The following is a 17,482-nucleotide window of genomic DNA, read 5'->3' on the forward strand; positions in this document are numbered from 1 at the left end:
CAGCACTCCGGGAGGCCGAGGTGGGTGGGTCACCTGAGGTCAGGAGTTCGAAACCAGCCTGGCCAACATGGTGAAACCCCATCTTTACTAAAAATACAAAAATTAGCTGGGGGTAGTGGCGTACACCTGTTTCCAGCTACTCAGGAGGCTGAGGCAGGAGAACTGCTTGAACCCGGGAGGCGGAGGTTGCAGTGAGCTGAGATTGCACCACTGCACTCCAGCCTGGTGACAGAGTAAGGTTCCGTCTCGAAAAAAAAAAAAGAATATGACCTTACCTAGAAATTGGGTCTTTGCAGATGTAATTAGTTAAGAAGCAGTCATACAGGATTAAGTGAGCCCTAAATCCAATGACTGGTGTCTTTATGAGACAAAGGATACGGAGTTTTGGACATAGACACACTTCACAGACACACACAGGGACGAAGGTCACAATGTGGGCAGAGATTGAATTGATGCAGCTACAAGCCAGGAAACGCTGGGGGCCAAAAGAAGTTAGAAAATTTCCCTAGAATTTTCGAGAGAGTGTGGCCCTGCTGACACCTTGATCTCAGACTTCCGGCCTCCAAAACTGTAAGGGAATACGTTTCTGCTGTTTTAAGCAGCTCTGTATAGTACAAGATAACCATCCCTTCTCTGAAGGGACCAGAGTGTTTCAGATTTTTCAGATTTTGGAATATTTGCATTATTTTACTGGCATCATTTACCAGTTGAGCATCCCAAATCTGAAAATGTGAAATCCAAAATGTTCCAAGGAGCATTTCCTTTGAGCATCATGTCAGCGTTCAAAAGGTTTTGGATTTGGGAGCATTTCAGATCTTGGATTTTCAGATTTGAGATGCTCAATATGTACTTTGTTGTGACAGCAACAGGAAACTTACACAGTCAGGAGAGAACTTCTACACATTCAGATGTGTATTGCAATTATTTCCCCAGAAGTTAACTGAGCCGACTGTTTCAGGTGACAGTGGAAGCGGTCATCCCTTTAACGGTGCCATCCCTTTAACTTCATGATAGCATAGATGTACACCTGCCAGCAGTCTTAAAAGATCAGACTTAGAGCCATCTGACTTTTTTTTTTTTTTTGAGATGGAGTTTTGCTCTTGTCGCCCAGGCTGGAGTGCAATGGCGTGGTCTCAGCTCACTGTAACCTCTACCTCCCAGGTTCAAGTGATTCTCCTGCCTTAGCCTCCCACGTAGCTGGGATTACAGGCATGTGCCAACACGCTCGGCTAATTTTTGCATTTTTAGTAGAGACGGGGTTTCACCATGTTGACCAGGCTGGTCTCGAACTCCTGACCTTAGGTGGTCCACCTGCCTCGGCCTCCCGAAGTGCTGGGATTACAGGCGTGAGCCACTGCGCCCGGCCCTGACTTTCTTTCTCGCTGCACTCTTTGAGTAACTTTTCAACTTCATTCTACTCTTTTTTCATCCTGCATAGTCTGCATTCCCAGCCCATGCAGGTATGAGGCTAACGTAAGGAGGCAGCCATGCAGTGAGAGAATCTAGAAGGCAGAAACAAAGAGAACTCCTTTCTCCTGACACCTGGAATTCCTTGAAGCTAACTACTATCTCTGGAAGACAACTTCTCAAAAAATTGTTCAGCGCAACTATGGCCTGAATCACGTCCCCCGCTTCAAATTTCTATGTTGAAGTCCTAACGCCCAGTACCTAAGAATGTAACTGTAAGGGAGATAGGATTTTTAAAGTGTTAATAAGGTTAAAATGAGGTCATTAGAGTGGGCCCTAATCCAATATGACTGGTGTCCTTATAAGAAAAGGAGATTGGGACACCGACAGGCACAGAGGAAAGACCACGCTTTGGGAGGCCGAGGTGGGTGGATAGCTTGAGCCCAGGAGTTCAAGACCAGCCTGGGCAACACGGCAAAATGCCATCTCTACAAAAAAATACAAAAATTAGCCAGGTGTGGTGGCGCACTCCTGTAGTCCCAGCTACTCCGGGGGCTGAGGTGAGAGGATAGCTTGAGCCCAGGAGGTTGAGGCTACAGTGAGCCATGATCGCACCACTGCACTCCAGCCTGGGTGACACAGTGAGACTCTGTCTCGATAAAAAGACAGACCATGTGAAGCCACAGGGAGACGACAGCCATCTACCAGCCAAGGAGAAAGGCCTCAGAAGAAACCGACCAATCTTGCCAACTATTAGTCTTGGACTTCCAGCCTCCAGAACTGTGAAAAAAATAAATTTCTGCAGTTTAAGCCACCCGGTTTGTGGTATTTTGCTACAGCAGCCCTAGCAAACACATGTGAGTGCCAAATTGCCTCTAGCCTCATGCCACATGAAAATTTGCTCTGAAATTACTGCCTGGCTTAGAAAATCAGGACTGTGTTTTTTTTTTTTTTTAAAAGGCAGAAGCAGATAAAGTGCTATTTGAGTGCTCCATATTAGGCCAAATAGAACACTCTTCAGAAGCAAAAGACTCTATAAAGCGTACCCACCCTGATAATGTTCCCATGAGCTAGGACACTAACGGTCTCATGCTGCCTGCACAGATCCCTGTCCAAGAAGGTATCTCTGCATTGTTTATTTAATATCCAGATGCGAAAAAGCTTCTGGCAGTTATTATTATTGAGCCCTTTGCCCTCCTGCAAAATATTTTTGTGCGGCACATTTTAACGCTGGTTTGCTTCATTCTATTTATTTATTTATTTATTTATTTATTTATTTACTGAGACAGAGTCTCACTCTGTCGCCCAGGCTGGAGTGCAGTGGCACAATCTCAGCTCACTGCAGCCTCTGCCTCCTGGGTTCAAGTGATTCTCCTGCCTCAGCCTCCCAAGTAGCTATGATTACAGGCATGTGCCACCACGCCTGGCTAATTTTTGTATTATTATTATTTTTTTTTTAGTAGAGACAGGGGTTTCACCATGTTGGCCAGGCTGGTCTCGAACTCCTGACCTGAGGTGATCCACCTGCCTCGGCCTCCCAAAGTGCTGGGATTACACGTGCATTCTCACACTTCAAATGAAGAAACCCAGGTTACGGGTCTTAGCCCAGAAAGGAGGTAGCAGCCAGGGCCTACCTATTTTTCAGTTCCTAGATAACTCCTCTCAATTGGGCCAGGACAAGATTTTAAAGTCTCCCCTAACCAAGCAGGTACAGGGAAAAAAATAAATAAATAAAACTCTGATTGCCAAAACCACATGCCAAGAAATTATATCTACATGAACTGTTGTGAAAATACTCTTTCATTTTTAGAGATCTTACCAATAAAAAGTCAAAATTAATAACATCTCAGAGACTTCCCCAAACACATTATTTCGGAAACCTAGTTATAAACACTCAGAATTTCTCCTAGGAGTTACACCTCACTCTCGATCAAATTTAAGATCACTAAATTTGACTGGAAATATCAGTGACAAAAGGAACATGTCCTTCAGGAAGACATGGAAAGTTAGAAGATACAGAAAAAGAAAGGTAATAGGAACCATGAAGCTGTTTAAATAAGTCATCTTTGCTTCCGTAGGCTTAGGCTATTCCAAGCAGTTTTAGCGCCAAGGAAACTTGGGAGTGGAATGTACGTGGCTGAGCTTATAGCGAGAACCAGCTGCTTCAGAGAAGAGATTGCATCCCACACTGCCTGGCTGCCCTCCCTAAGCCCCACACATTATGTCTAAAAAAATGCAATCCTCCAAAGCCTAGCCAGTGTGAAAACCCACCTATTGGGTTCATTGTTGAACTAGAGAAACCGTTCCCAGTCAACAGACAAACACGTAAGCAGTAGTAAAACATGAAGTCAATGGGCCAATACCTCCCTGTTCTTCAGTTCATCAAATCTTTTTCCAAAGGCACCTAAGGGAGGATGTTTAACAGGGAAAATGGGAGAAAGGGATGATTCCAAATACAAGACTGAAAGAGGACACTGTGATACCTGGAGAAGAGAGAGTGTCTTGAGGTGGAAGAAGGGGATCAAAGAGCAACTGAACTCCATCGTGTTCCCGAACAGGACAAGCCCTGGGGTTGCTGATCCGGGGTTGGGCACTTGAGAAGCTTGAGCTAGAAAGGAAAATCATCTCCTGCAAGACCATTTCCACAGGAAGAGTGCCACGCAGCACATCAGAAGCAGAACCAATAAGGAATTCAAGATTTTAGAGTAGAAAACAAAGACACTCAGCTAATGGCCAGTGACTGCAGTTCTACAATCTATAATCCACTTGACACGAGCTTGGCATCAGTTTCATTTTGCAAAACATGGCTTTGATAATTGCATCAGATCTGCAAGGCTGTGTAGGCAGAATTCTTATTGCCAAGTGAATTTTCCTATAAGAATAGGGCATTAAGAGAAAAATCTGTTTCTTACCTGAGTGTCGTACGGCTTACGCTTCCCTGACTTGAGTACCCATTCACTTTTTCCCCCAACACTTCAGAAAGATTTACAGAAAATGCACAGATGGCACCTCACAACTGAATAATCTCCTAAAGTAAATCCACCTCTTGCTCTACCAGAAAATAATGCCTTCTCCTGGTCTTTCCACAGATACACAAAATGATAGGCAATTCTCCTATGCTAATAGACCGATGAAATTCACCAATAATAATAGTGATGACAAAGTTCACTAGTGAAGAGTATCTATAACTGCATCAGACCAATCTGGTTCAACTTTTATGTAACAAAGCTGTGAGCTGCTTTTCAGTTGCCATGGACCCTCAGGTCATGTAACCTAAGCATGCTCAGATGAACCAAGTGTACAACCACAGGGGGAACCTAAGTGCTGGGACAGAGGAGTGGGACTGAATTAAGAAGCAGACACCACATGGCAGGATCCAGGATCCAATGAGATTGAACTCTGGCATCACCCCATGACAGGATCCAATCAGATAATGCCTCCTAACGTCACCTCATTGCAAGATCCAATCAGATCACACCTCATTACTTATGCTTATAAAACCCAACCCAACCCCCAGCTCAGGGAGACAGATTTGGGCATTCCCTCCTGTCTCCCTGCCAGTTGACTTGACTCCCAATAAAGCTGTTCTTCTCTCAAAAGCCAGTGCCACGGTATTGGCCTCTGTGTGCATCGGGCAGCAAGCCCACTGATGCTTGGTAACATTTCAACTTCCTCCCCCAGAACATACTGCATATTTAAATGGGGAAATTAACAATTAGTAAGAGAATCAACTGATTCACTTTTAACTACCTTCTCTTTAGCCTACAGAGGATGCTATGAAGAAAAGAAAAAAAACTCAACTTGACAGCTGAGTGGGGACAACTGAGACAGAGAAGCCCAAGATCTTGAACAACACTGGGTGTATGCAGCCATCTGGGGTGTGATGAAATATAACTTATAGTCCCTTGCCTTTCAAACACACACACACACATACACACACACACAGACTTTGCATAAAATGCAAGAGGCTCGTGAGTCCTTTGGTACTCATGCATGGAGCCCAGACATAAAGAACTCCTGGCCTCATTTCTAGAATTTACTCAACAATATAACTGTCCACAGAGATGTAGATACTAAAATGCTCTGTGCCACATTCTTTGCAATAGCAAAGCATCAGAATTAACCCCATGGGCATCCAGAGAGGGCTAATTAGGTAGCATCATGGCCAATAACAAGAATGGGATGGATCTATGAGCACCTCAGGAAAAAAACACCCAAGGGTACCGTTAAGTGCAAAAACATATGATACAGAACAATGGGTCAGGTGTGATTATAGAAACATGATAATTCTGAAAGGATGCACAAGAAACTAGAAACGATGTTTGTGTCTGAGATGGGGGGACTAGACCATAAGGGATTTGAAGGTGGAAGAAAAATTACTTTTAACCGATGTCATTATATTTTTAATTAAAAGAAAGCTAATTGGAGATGGATGGATGGATGGATGGATGGATGGGAGAGAGAATGAAAGAAAGAGAGACTGATAGATTTAAAGGAACTTCTTCTGGCCTACCTAAGTCCCAAAATATCCCCAGCCTTGAGAATAGCTGATATCAGAAAACATTGCACACTAAGACCTAAATAGGAAAGTATCTCATAAATGCTTTTCCCAGCTCAGGCTGCCGTCACTGCTGCTGCTCCTCAGAGCAGCTGAACTCCTCTCCCAGAGTGTGGCCTTTCTAGTTCTTCCTCTGGTCGAACCAATTATGGGACATTACAACAGCAGCACCAATATGATGTTTTAAAGGCTAATGTTATTCACTAAATACCCATTAAACCCATCTCCTTGCTCCATTTACAGCAAGCTTAAGGGCAAATCCAGATGGTACAAATAATGCATATTCAGGCTCCATCTGCATGAAGCCAGTTATCAAATAGCCATTATCAGTTTTGGAGTCCTCAGGTGCCTGACACCCACAGGTGTGTCCAGGTGAGAAGAACAGCGACCTTTCAAGAGATGGCTGGGAGATCATCTCTGTGCTTCCCCAAGAGCTGCATTTGCTTTTGCAGCTGAACAGCTAGCAACGGTTACAAGGGTTGCTTGGTAACCCGGTAACAGGCTGTGCCTAGTGTTCTTGAGCAGGGGGACTGGGTTACATCTCCCTCCCACACACCTCACTCCGCTACCACTTAACTCTGGGTTGGCCAAGAAGACCCAGCAGTACCCAGAGGCTGTCCTGCAGAGCCAACTCCCCTGACCCCGTCCCGGCTGTGACTCCATTGGAAAATGTCCATCCAAGGGCTTGCCAATGTTTACCTTTTTTGACTGACAGGCACTGAATTCACTGTACCACCTTCCCCCGACCCCACCAGCCCATGGCCCTGAAGATAGAAAAATCAGATAAAGTCTGGCCAACTTTTATACCCTAGAGAAGACTCACAATCAGGATCATAAGGTCTTCAAAGGGGAACCCAGGAGCCCAGCGCAGTCATGTTAGTGAAAATAGACAGAAAAGGCCTGTGGCCTTGTGTTCAGAACTCAGCATGAAAAATGACAAGTTTTACTTGAATACAGTGCTCTACTGTGTCACCAGACAGTCCTTGACTATGTTCCAGTAAAAAGAGAAGATGATACCTAAAGCGTTCTGATGGGTATAAGTGACAAGTGTGATTGGAGGCAGGAGGAAGATTTGTCATTCTAACCCTCTATGATTTAAGCTCACATTGGATGAAATTTTTATTTCCTGGTTCCATCCCACGTAGGAAGTTGTGGGCGGCAGTGAGGATTAACCCAAATGGAGAAGACATTTGAGTTCTCCATGAATAATTCATGCAGGACATAATCTGAACACAGATACCAGAGCCCTGGCTGCAGCATAGCTTTAACTTTTGTACATTTGCTCTCCCTAAGGGGTAGAGATCATCTTAGCATAGAGATGGCAAAAAGATTCAATTAAAATGCCAGCATGGAAATGGGAAAGGACTGTTCTCCCTGAAATCACTCCTGTGAACACAGTGACTGGTCACCAATTTGTTTTTCCTTAATTCACTCAGGAGAGCACTCCACATAAGCGAGGAGGGGCCCATTCTCCACAGCATCCTGGCATGGTTTTCGTCCCCGGGGTCTTGCAGGATTAAATGGGGAACTTCTATATAAATCCAAAGGGGAAAAAAAGGCATCCAACTCTCCTCATGCTCACTGGCCCTTAAACTAGCCAAGTGTCCTTAGTAAACAATGAGGGGCAAGAAGGAGAGGCGTCTGACCCCGAGGCTGGAAAACAATGTATTGCATTCCATCTTCAACAACTTCTCAAAGGGCAACAGCCCACTCTGCATCTCTCCCCACCCAGCTTCAGTAATTGCTGTCTGATTCCTCTTGAGGGACGCATTCCCTCTAACTCAGAGAAAAGGCATGACTATGCTGTCAGCATCTTTAGCTTTTCTGGCTCCAAATTGAATCAGTGAGAGAAACGTCCACAGTTGGCCAGGTGCAGTGGCTCATGCCTGTAATTCCAGCACTTTGGGAAGCCGAGACAGGCAGATCACCTGAAGTCAGGAGTTCAAGACCAGCCTGGCCAAATTGGTGAAACACCATCTCTACTAAAAGTACAAAAAATTAGCCAGGCATGGACCTGTAGTCCCAGCTACTTGAGAAGTCGAGGCAGGAGAATCCCTTGAACCTGAAAGGTGGAAGTTGCAGTGGGCTGAGATGGCGCCACTGCACTCCAGCCTGAGCGACAGAGCAAGACTCCATCTCGGGGGGAAAAAAAAAATCCACAGCAGTCTCCCCAGGTAAATCAAAAAGATGTAAATTACAACACAAATGAAAAGGAGTATTCAGGGTTCATCAGAGAGGGGGACACTGAGGGACAAATGCTGGTACTCTCTAACCCAAAGCAGCCCCATCACCATCAGAGTGACCCCACTGTCCACCTGTCCAAGTCGAAAAGATGATCAAAAGGTACCGTTACCTTCTGTAGACTAAGCATGTGGTTTGGACAACAAATGAGAAATGAAGGTGCTGGGCCAGATGCCAGTTTAGCTCCATGCAGTAGTAGGGTGAGTGATTCGGAGGGATAGGACAGTGCTGGCATTTCTCTCACTATTCATCCTACCACCAGCCCCCACGTCCATATTGCCTGACTCAGCTCAGTGTCTGCAGCAAAGAGCTTGCCTGAAAGAAGCCCAGCTCTACCTATCCGGATGGAAAGTTCACTCTCAGGGAAGAGCAGCGCGGGACCCTCAGGATCAGACTTCTTCTTCATCAACGTAGAGCCGAAGTTCAGTGCCAGGGTCGTCTGGGGGTCTTCTGCTGCACCCTGAAACAAGAAGCGGTAACATCACTAGAGCACCACTACTGTGTTAATTCCCCAGATGCTTCTGGCTCACGGGCGCCAAGGCAACTTGCCAGTCTCTACCAAGACCGCCACAGCTGAGCCAGTCCTCCGGCCAACCCAGTTGCCAGGCCATGCTGGGTCTTCAGGAAGATGACAAACTTTCCAGGTATAGGACTTTAGTGGTTACAAAAAAGAAAAAAACAACACGATCTAAAAAGTCAGTGCTGATCCTAAAAATGGGGAAAATATATACCAGGAAAGATTGGGACCCAAACACCAAAACTCCACTGCAAGCGTCATCGCCGCACACACACAAAACCCCACTGCAAGCGTCATCGCCTCACACACACAAAACCCCACTGCAAGCGTCATCGCCGCACACATACCAAACCCCACTGCAAGCGTCATCGCCGCACGCACACAAAACCCCACTGCAAGCGTCATCGCCGCACGCACACAAAACCCCACTGCAAGCGTCATCGCCGCACGCACACAAAACCCCACTGCAAGCATCATCACTGCCGGGCAAATGAGCAATGAAGTTGGTTCCTGATCTATCAAAAGAAGTCCATATGGCAGGTTCACGTGAATGGCAGTCTCAGTACAGGAACCACGGTCAACTTATTTGGAATTCACCATCTCCACATCTTCACGTGTCTTATGAGATCAAAAGAGGAGATCCAAACAAAACCATCTCAAAGGAAGGAAGCAGTGCGAGTTGCAGAGAATGCACACATATTTAGAGTTAACTCCAGATGACCTTAAAACAATCATGTCATTCTTCAGCTTTGTCCTAACTAGTTAAGCACTGATCAGTTTGACTGTTTCGCATTAACCAGGCAAAATCGTGCGTTTGATCCTCACATTTATTTGACAAATATTAATTAACTGCCAACTCTGTGTATATTTAGTGAAAGAGACAAAGTCCCGGTTCTTCTGAAGCTTGTGTTCCGCTTGGGAGTAAATAAATGAATCCACAATGGGGTGGTAAGCTTCTCTTCCAAAGGCATCATCTGGAAGCCCCAACCCCACTGACCACTTACAAATGCACAGGATCTCAACAGGAACAACAAGGCAGAGGAGAGACTCAACCAACTACACAAGCACCTCCACTTTCATCCAAACACCTCAAAGCTAAGGGAAGGGAGGCAGAATCATCTCAATTGGCAAAAAATAGTAGATATTTCTTGAAACCTAGGTGTCTCTGTCTGTTCAGGCTGCCATAAAATAAAATACCATACACTGGGCAGCTTTTTTTTTTTTTTTTTTTTTTTTTTTTTTTTTGAGACAGAGTTTCACTCTGTCACCTAGGCTGGAGTGCAGTGGTGCAATCTCAGCTCACAGCAACCTCTGCCCCACCGTGTTCAAGCAATTCTCCTGCCTCAGCCTCCCGAGTAGCTGGGATCACAGGCACTCACCACCACGCCGGGCTAATCTTTGTGTTTTTAGTGGAGATAGGGTTTCACCATGTTGGCCAGGCTGGTCTCAAACTCCTGACCTCAAGTGATCCACCTGCCTCGGCCTCCCAAAGTGCTGGGATTACAGGTGTGGGCCACTGCACCCGGCCAGCTTTTAAACAACAGAAATGTATCACAGTTTCTGGAGGCAGGAAATTCCAATCAAGGTACCAGCACAGTCAGTGACTGGTGAGAGCCTGCTTCTTGGTTCACGACGGCACAGGCTAGCTATGGAAGGGGCAATGGGTCTCTTTCACACGTCTTTCATTACGGCATTAATCCCACTCATGAGGGTTCTACCCTCATAATCTAATGATCACCCAAAGGTCCCACCTCCTAATACAATCACTGTGGCAGTTAGGATCTCAACATAGGAATTCTGAGGGGATGCAAACATTTTCAGGCCACAGCACCAAGCAGAAATAGGTCCAAACAAACACAAGTTTTCATTTAAAACATGTGTCTCTAATGCGGGAGAGGAGAAGGCTTAAAATCTAATCACATAAATGCATCCATTTATTTTAAAAAATACTAAAACAATTTTCTTGGATAAGTTCCTTTCATGAAGGAATCTCACAAAAGGGATACCAGGCTGCTGTGACACACACACACACACACACACACACACACACACACACACACACACCCCTTCTTGTTTTTTCACTGTCATGATGATGAGAGTTAAGAAAGAGAACCTAATGATTCAGATCTTTTATTTCATTATCTGCTTCCAACCAAATGTTGAAAATGAACACATATGCCCTTCCTCTCATCTATTCTCATTTGTCTAGACATCGCTACTGTCATCACTTATTTGCGATGTCCTCTATGAATGTCTTTTAATAAAGGTGCCAACACCCCCATGTAACTTTGTCTCAACTAAACAAACACACACAAAAAAGCCTCCTGCCCCTGTTTGAGCTACCCTTGTACAAGTTTTCAGTCCCCTTTGGGTATCCACCTCTTCTGTCACATAAAGGCAGCTGCCCTGCAGTATCACGGTTAAGGTAGACCTACAGATGGCCAGAATCCTGGGAACAGAGAGGCTTTGGGAAGGCCGGTCTCTCCCTCTGTAGAAACCCCCCTCCCTAACCCTGCTGACACCTGGTGTCTGTGTGATATGCCACGGGCCATGGAGTCACAGCTCTTTGTTTGTTTATATGCTTTAATTATTTCTAATTCTACATCTCCTGCTGACATCCGAGGAATCACTGCAGCAATAAAAGATATGTTTCACTATGAAAGTATGTCAGCTGATTTTCCTTCCTTTGTCTTCTTTCTTTTTATAATGTGATTGATGCGTAACTGGGGGAAGGAATAAAAGGAGAACCATTTCATTACAGAAGAAATGCCGCAGCATTAATACGCATTAAGCTGCAACTGTGTATTTGATTGAAGCCCATCTGGTAAGGTGCAGCTTACAGAGACCCTGGTTTTCATTTAGAACATTTGTTTTCAATTATGTGATTTTTGTCCCCCCCACCCAGAAGACACTGAGCACTGGGCATTTTGGAATGTCATAACTGGGGGGCTGAGCATGCTGCTGATATCTCTAGTGGGTAGAGACCACGGATGCTATGAAATATTCAACAATGCATAGGACAGCCCCCACAACAGAGAATGAGCCAGGGCCAGGCACAGTGGCTCATGCCTATAATCCCAGCACTTCTGAAGGCCAAGGTGGGAGGATCACTTGAGCCCAGGAGTTCGAGACCAGCCTAGGCAACATAGTGAGGCCCCATTTCTTAAAAAAAAAAAAAATTAGCCAGGTATGATGGCACATGCCTGTAGTCTCAAGCTACTTGGGAGGCTGTGGCAGGAGGACTGCTTAAGCCCAGGAAGGCGAGGCTGCAGTGGGCCAAGATCACACTACTGCACTCCAGCCTGGGCAACGGAGAGTGACCCTGTTGCAAAAAAAAAAAAAAAAAGCCAGCAAAATGTCAATAGTGCTGAGCTTCAGATACCTGCTTTAGAAAGAGTTACGATGATCAATCAGGACGCCATAGCTCCCTGTAATGCTGGAAACTCACAGACCCTCTTTTTACTGTAAAGAGAAGAATTTCGCTAGTTTCTCTAGGAAGACTCCCTGCTCACCTTCACGCATCCCATAGATTTCTGTTAAGTGTCAACTCTGTATCAGAGATGCTCCAGGTACTGGCAATTCAAAAAAGCCAAGTCTCCTGTCCTCATGAATCCTACATTCTCCTTCGAGAGACAGATGATAATAAACCCATCATGATAAACTAAAAAATAAGAGTGTCAGGTAGTGATAATGCCAAAAGAAAAATAAGCCATATCTGTAATTCACAGCCATCCAAAACATTGCCTGGCACAAACCAGAACCTAGCCCATATAATACAGGCTGGTTTCTGGTTTGTGCCGGGTGATGTTCCAAGCATTTTACATGTACTAGCCCATTATTAACTGTAAAGACAGTGTTCCTTTAGGGAAGATGCCAAGAGAGGTCTTTGTGGGAAGATGGTATTTGTTCTTCCCTTACTTTCAGGTTTTTGCTCAAACACTGACTCCCTCTTCCCCTCCATCTCTTTTCACCTTTCTATCAATCTATATTCTGTGGGTTGCATTGCTTTATTTCGGCGTTTTCGGGGCAGGGAGACGAGCACTAAGAAAATCCCGCCCTAACTTCACTTAGAAGCTGCCCTTTTAAAAGCTAGACAGAGATCCGTTATCTCCACCTGTACCCACTCCCGCCTGTACCCCCCGCTTCCCCCATGTGCTCCCTCCAACATTTAGCCTTCAGAACAACCAGGGTCAGCTATGCAGCGTGGGAGCTACAGAAAGTATCTCCGGAGTAATGCCAAGGACAGCTCCTTCGCTATCTCCATACCTGGCAAAACCTCCACATGCCTCTGATCCCAGGCACTGGCCTCCCAGGGCTCTTTTTAGACACCTTTCCAGGATTCTCAACATTCCTCCAACTCTCAATTATTGATAGGGAAGAGGAATACATCCCTCTGAATTTCAAGAAACAGCATGGAGGGAGAGGCCAGCTCGCTTTGCTAGCTTTATCATAGCGTCCCTGGCGGTGGGGGAAAGTCAGAAGCTCCTGCTGTGGCAAAGTGGCTCTCAACCTGCTGGGCTGACATGCCCCGCATATCCCCCACCCCCCTGCTGCCATGGAGCCCCATCTGCTCACTGGGCATGGGGACTGCAGGTTGAGGGCACTGGAGCTCTTTACCAGGACACCTAAAATAAATACAGCCTTGGCCCGTGCATGAGGAACCAAGGCCCTCAGGGAGAAATTCCTTCTCTACATCCCTCTCTTCTTTACTTGATATTGTTGTTTACATTTCTGGTTTGGTTTGGTTTGATTTGGTTTTCATCTCTGCAATGCCTTTCTATCCATATTACCTCACTCAATCCTTATAGCCCTGCAAGGTCGGCAAAGTGCGAGCGTGATCCTTCTTAGGGCAAACACGTGACCAACGCAAGCTGTTCTTGACTTTCCACAGCAGCCCCGACAGTCTGCTCTGCTGCCCATCAGAGGGTCAGTGAGTCACTCTTTCCCATCTCCACAACACACAGTGCTTCAGGTAGGCCTCTGGGGCTCTGAATAGTTCAAGTGTGCTGTGTCACCTTGCAGCTCCCAAATGTCAAGGTGTCAAATACAAGGGCTCTTTCTCCAGCTGCAAGGTCACCCCCTCTCCTTCTCCATTGTTCCCTCTCCCGATCCTCTTTCCCTGTCCTTCTTCCCGCATCCCCACCCACTCCAAACCCAGCTCAGTACAGAAAGCAGGGTGTGGGCCAATGGAGGCATGAGGTACCACCCACCCACCACCCAGGGCCACGGAACTTGAGACTCCTGTCCTCTTAGAATGGAATTATTATCATAATGATTCTTCTTCTTGGTGGGGGGCCAATCCCTGGCTCGGAATAAACAGAGCAACTTCCACCCACTTTGGAAAGGCCATGCAGAAAGGCAGGAGCTGAAGAAGAAGAATAGCACTTTCCAGAACAAAAAGAGAGGAAATAGAGAGAAAAAGAAAGAAAGATGATGAAATAATGTGAAGGAGGTGAGGGGGCAGGAGGTAGGAAAGCAGCTCTGCAACTTGCCTTACATTAAACCAAAAAGGCTGCACAAAACAATATGTATATCTCCTTCAAGAAATAAAATCCTGGGGCTGTGCAGTGTGGCCTGCTGTCCCAGGCAGGAGGAGGGCAACTGTTAGTGGCTGATGTCTCCAGAGCCCCCCAAAAGAAACAAGTCACCTGAGAAACAGGCCAGAGCATCACTGAAGGGACAGAGCTACCTGCATATTAAGTCTACAAGGGCGAACTAAGGCCCCCCCTACAAAGCACGTTGGGTGTCATAGAACCGCAGACCCTGCAGCCCTCAAACCTTGCTGCAAGCAGCTTGGTGCATCTGCTCCAGGTCCCAGTACCAACCTTCAATAGGTCTTAAGTCCCATCACCTCCTTTCTGGCTCTTCCTCACTGGGGTGAGTCATTGCTACTAACAACCGTGTCTGAGGATGGCAAAACAAAGCAACCTGTGATGATTGTCAGCGTCTGGGAGGCAAACCTGACCTCCGCCAAACCCGCACACACCTTCTATCGCACGGATTCAGGACGGGGGAGCTCTGTTCATTTTGTTCTGAGGTTTCATTCAACTAAGGCTGTGATGACCCTGCACGTTGCTGGCCCATGAAGGGCAGTCTCTTCGTTTTTTTAAATTTTGTATTTGTTATTTTTGAGAGACAGAGTCTCACTCTGTTGCCCAGGCTGGAGTGCAGTGGTGTGATCTCAGCTCACTGCAACCTCTGCCTCCCTAATTAAAGTGATTCTCCTGTCTCAGCTTCCCAGTAGCTGGGATTACAGGTGCCCGCCACCATGCCCGGCTAATATTTGTATTTTTAGTAGAAACAGGGTTTCACCATGTTGGCCAGGCTGGTCTCAAACTCCTGACCTCAAGTGATCCGAGGAAGGCAGTCTCTTTAATTGAAGCTTGTCAACAAGTCAGAGCTCCCTGAGGAAAGGCCAAGGCCAAGGTCAGGGGACTAATTGGTGCCCCCTGCCAGCTACAGCTACATGGAAGCCAAGTGTTACACGCCAGTGGAAAAGGGTACAGGGATCTCAAGAGGAGCCACCCAAGGGGCTTGGGACGTGCAGTTGCCAGGGAAGGGGCTGGCGGGTGGCCTGCCTGGGGCCCAGCATAGGTGCTGCCTCCTCCCATTCCCCAGCCTCTGCCTCCTGCCATCCTCACTTAACCCCAGACACACAAGGCAACGTTCAATAATTGATGCTGTTTTTATTACTGAGAAGTTGCCATAATAATGACACTCGTAACACAATCTTTTAAATTATTCCACATAATGGAAAAAAAATTAAATGTCGCCCCTGATCAACAGTCAGAATATGGATGGTGCTTACATAACACATGACCTTCTCTCCTCGGGAGCCCGGCACCAGGCAGCTGCCCAGGGCCAGGCTGGCTCCCGGTGATGAGCAGCCAGCTAAGAAGCAAACAGGGACACAGAGTGGCACAGACACTGAGGCAGAGGGTACAGTCCTGCCTCGGGTGTCAGGCAGGTCACCGCTGTCTTCTTTGCCCTGGTTAACCTATACATTCAGGGATCATGGGTCATAGTCAGAATCCCTAAAGACAAGGAGGATGACGGTTTAAGTACTTGGTCTCTCCTGGTTTTTTAATGCAATTCTTGCCTTGTCCAAAGCACTAGGATTGTACCTCTAACTCAGCTTCAGTTCATTCCTTGTACAGTAATAATGCTATATCCAATCAGTGGACAGCAAGGCAGGTTTTCAAGCTTTGAATTATTCTACACTTGAGGTTTTTAAAATCTTGGCCAAAGAAGCCTGAGCTCCTTCCTCCAGGAAGCCTTCCTAGATGTACTCAACCTAGTATGGATCAAATGTACTCCCTTCCATCCTCCCCTGGTATCCTGAATAGGCTTTAACTTTTCAGTTCTCTTTTTTTTTTTTTTTTTTTTGTTTGAGACTTTCTTGTTCTGTCGCCCAAGATGGAGTGCAGTGGTGCAATCTCAGCTCACTGCAACCTCTGTCTCACGGGTTCAAGCAATTCTCATGCCTCAGCCTCTCGAGTAGTTGGGACTACAAGCACGCAACACCACGTCTGGCTAATTTTTTTTTTTTTTTTTTCAGTAGAGATGAGGTTTCACCATGTTGGCCAGGCTGGTCTCACACTCCTGACCTCAAGTGATCCATCCTCCGCAGCCTTCCAAAGTGCTGGGATTACAGGCGTGAGCCGCAGCGCCCAGCTGACTTTTCAGTTTTCTTAAGCATCTCAAAGCCATGAGGCTCAAAATGGCAGCTGTGTCTCGCGGCCCTACTGTCAGGGCCCAGCACACGGTCTGTGTTCAATAATTCAATTAATTTATCTGAACGAACTAAATGACAGAGGCTCCAAAATAAGAGGGAAATGTTGCATAATACAGAACATACCGATCTAGGGTAACCACAAGTGGTTAGGCCCTGAGAAAAGAGAGGATTGGTGCACAGAGGGGAAGAAAAGGCTTAAAAGAATTAACGATTTTCTAGCTAATGCCAAAAAGCGTGACGTTCCATCCACCCCTGCCGTCTATCCTCTTGATGATTAAGATAATCAATATCAGCCCTGCGACCACATGAGGACGGGTAGATACCTATCCTATGACTCCCCAGTGAAAGCTTCCATCTCCATCCTCCTTTCTGGCATAAATAGTCAGAGTGGGACAGCCTAGCTCACTCCCTTTTAAGGTAAGATCTTTCCACCCTGAAGCCCACGATCCCTCCAATGCCACATCTTCCAGCTTCGTCCCCATCACCTTCATGACCTTAACATGAAACTTCACAATGGTGGAAGTTAATTACGAACTTCTAGCTATATTTAAGCTACATAAGTACGCCATTACTCAAACTATCTTGTGAGAGACAAAACCTTTTCCTAGTCCTGATGCCAAAGTTCTATTCAAAATCAAGCGTATTTAAGCACATAAAACAGATTTGAAAGCATCACACAGCTCTGCAGAGACACAGCTCTATGAGAATCTGCAGATAGCCCTCCAGTAGCCATTCCAGGTAAGCAGCCCTGAGCTTGTATTCCAAAGAGCTAGGTCTCCTACTAGCACGGCTGACAGAGAGGTAGAGCTTGGCAGAGTTTTCCAAAGCATTATGCTTTTTCTTTTCGCTCAAAAATATCATTTTCCTTAAAACAGTAACAGAAATCCAAAAGAACACAAGTAACCGAAGTATAATGAAGTATTTCTTTTCTAATCCTCGATGATTATCCAACACTCTTAATCTAATCCTAGACTTAGTCCCAGACTTTATTAAAATGCACCCATATAATCCACTCTGAGCTTTT

General features: G+C 46.0%; 1 protein-coding gene across 35 annotated transcripts in view, besides 5 other annotated features; it reads right to left on the reverse strand.

Moving 5' to 3' along the window:
* Window positions 1-17,482, reverse strand: part of SLC39A11 (solute carrier family 39 member 11) — a 446,740-nt gene that overhangs the window by 293,261 nt on the left and 135,997 nt on the right. For 18 of the 35 annotated variants that reach the window (XM_006721757.3, NM_001159770.2, XM_006721755.3 and 15 more), the window contains one exon: window positions 8,522-8,666. In XM_006721757.3, coding sequence (XP_006721820.1) covers window positions 8,522-8,666 — 145 coding nt within the window. The remainder of the gene's footprint in view (window positions 1-8,521; window positions 8,667-17,482) is intronic. The other 17 variants (XM_017024335.2, NM_139177.4, XM_017024330.2 and 14 more) reach the window with 1 other exon arrangement.
* Window positions 8,290-9,489: an enhancer, noted in NCBI's record as "BRD4-independent group 4 enhancer chr17:70943638-70944837 (GRCh37/hg19 assembly coordinates)". NCBI's record gives its function as "activates an origin of replication core promoter dependent on BRD2, P300/CBP, MED14 and CDK7 cofactors, and independent of BRD4, by STARR-seq in HCT116 cells {active_cell/tissue: HCT116}" and the evidence as "EXISTENCE:reporter gene assay evidence [ECO:0000049][PMID:35650434]".
* Window positions 12,572-13,500: an enhancer, noted in NCBI's record as "H3K4me1 hESC enhancer chr17:70947920-70948848 (GRCh37/hg19 assembly coordinates)". NCBI's record gives its function as "activates a minimal SCP1, AML or CMV promoter by ChIP-STARR-seq in primed H9 embryonic stem cells {active_cell/tissue: H9 hESC(primed)}" and the evidence as "EXISTENCE:reporter gene assay evidence [ECO:0000049][PMID:30033119]".
* Window positions 13,501-14,429: an enhancer, noted in NCBI's record as "H3K4me1 hESC enhancer chr17:70948849-70949777 (GRCh37/hg19 assembly coordinates)". NCBI's record gives its function as "activates a minimal SCP1, AML or CMV promoter by ChIP-STARR-seq in primed H9 embryonic stem cells {active_cell/tissue: H9 hESC(primed)}" and the evidence as "EXISTENCE:reporter gene assay evidence [ECO:0000049][PMID:30033119]".
* Window positions 14,639-15,200: an enhancer, noted in NCBI's record as "H3K27ac-H3K4me1 hESC enhancer chr17:70949987-70950548 (GRCh37/hg19 assembly coordinates)". NCBI's record gives its function as "activates a minimal SCP1, AML or CMV promoter by ChIP-STARR-seq in primed H9 embryonic stem cells {active_cell/tissue: H9 hESC(primed)}" and the evidence as "EXISTENCE:reporter gene assay evidence [ECO:0000049][PMID:30033119]".
* Window positions 15,201-15,761: an enhancer, noted in NCBI's record as "H3K27ac-H3K4me1 hESC enhancer chr17:70950549-70951109 (GRCh37/hg19 assembly coordinates)". NCBI's record gives its function as "activates a minimal SCP1, AML or CMV promoter by ChIP-STARR-seq in naive H9 embryonic stem cells {active_cell/tissue: H9 hESC(naive)}" and the evidence as "EXISTENCE:reporter gene assay evidence [ECO:0000049][PMID:30033119]".

This window comes from Homo sapiens, chromosome 17 (assembly GCF_000001405.40).
Source record: "Homo sapiens chromosome 17, GRCh38.p14 Primary Assembly".
Taxonomy (NCBI): domain Eukaryota; kingdom Metazoa; phylum Chordata; class Mammalia; order Primates; family Hominidae; genus Homo; species Homo sapiens.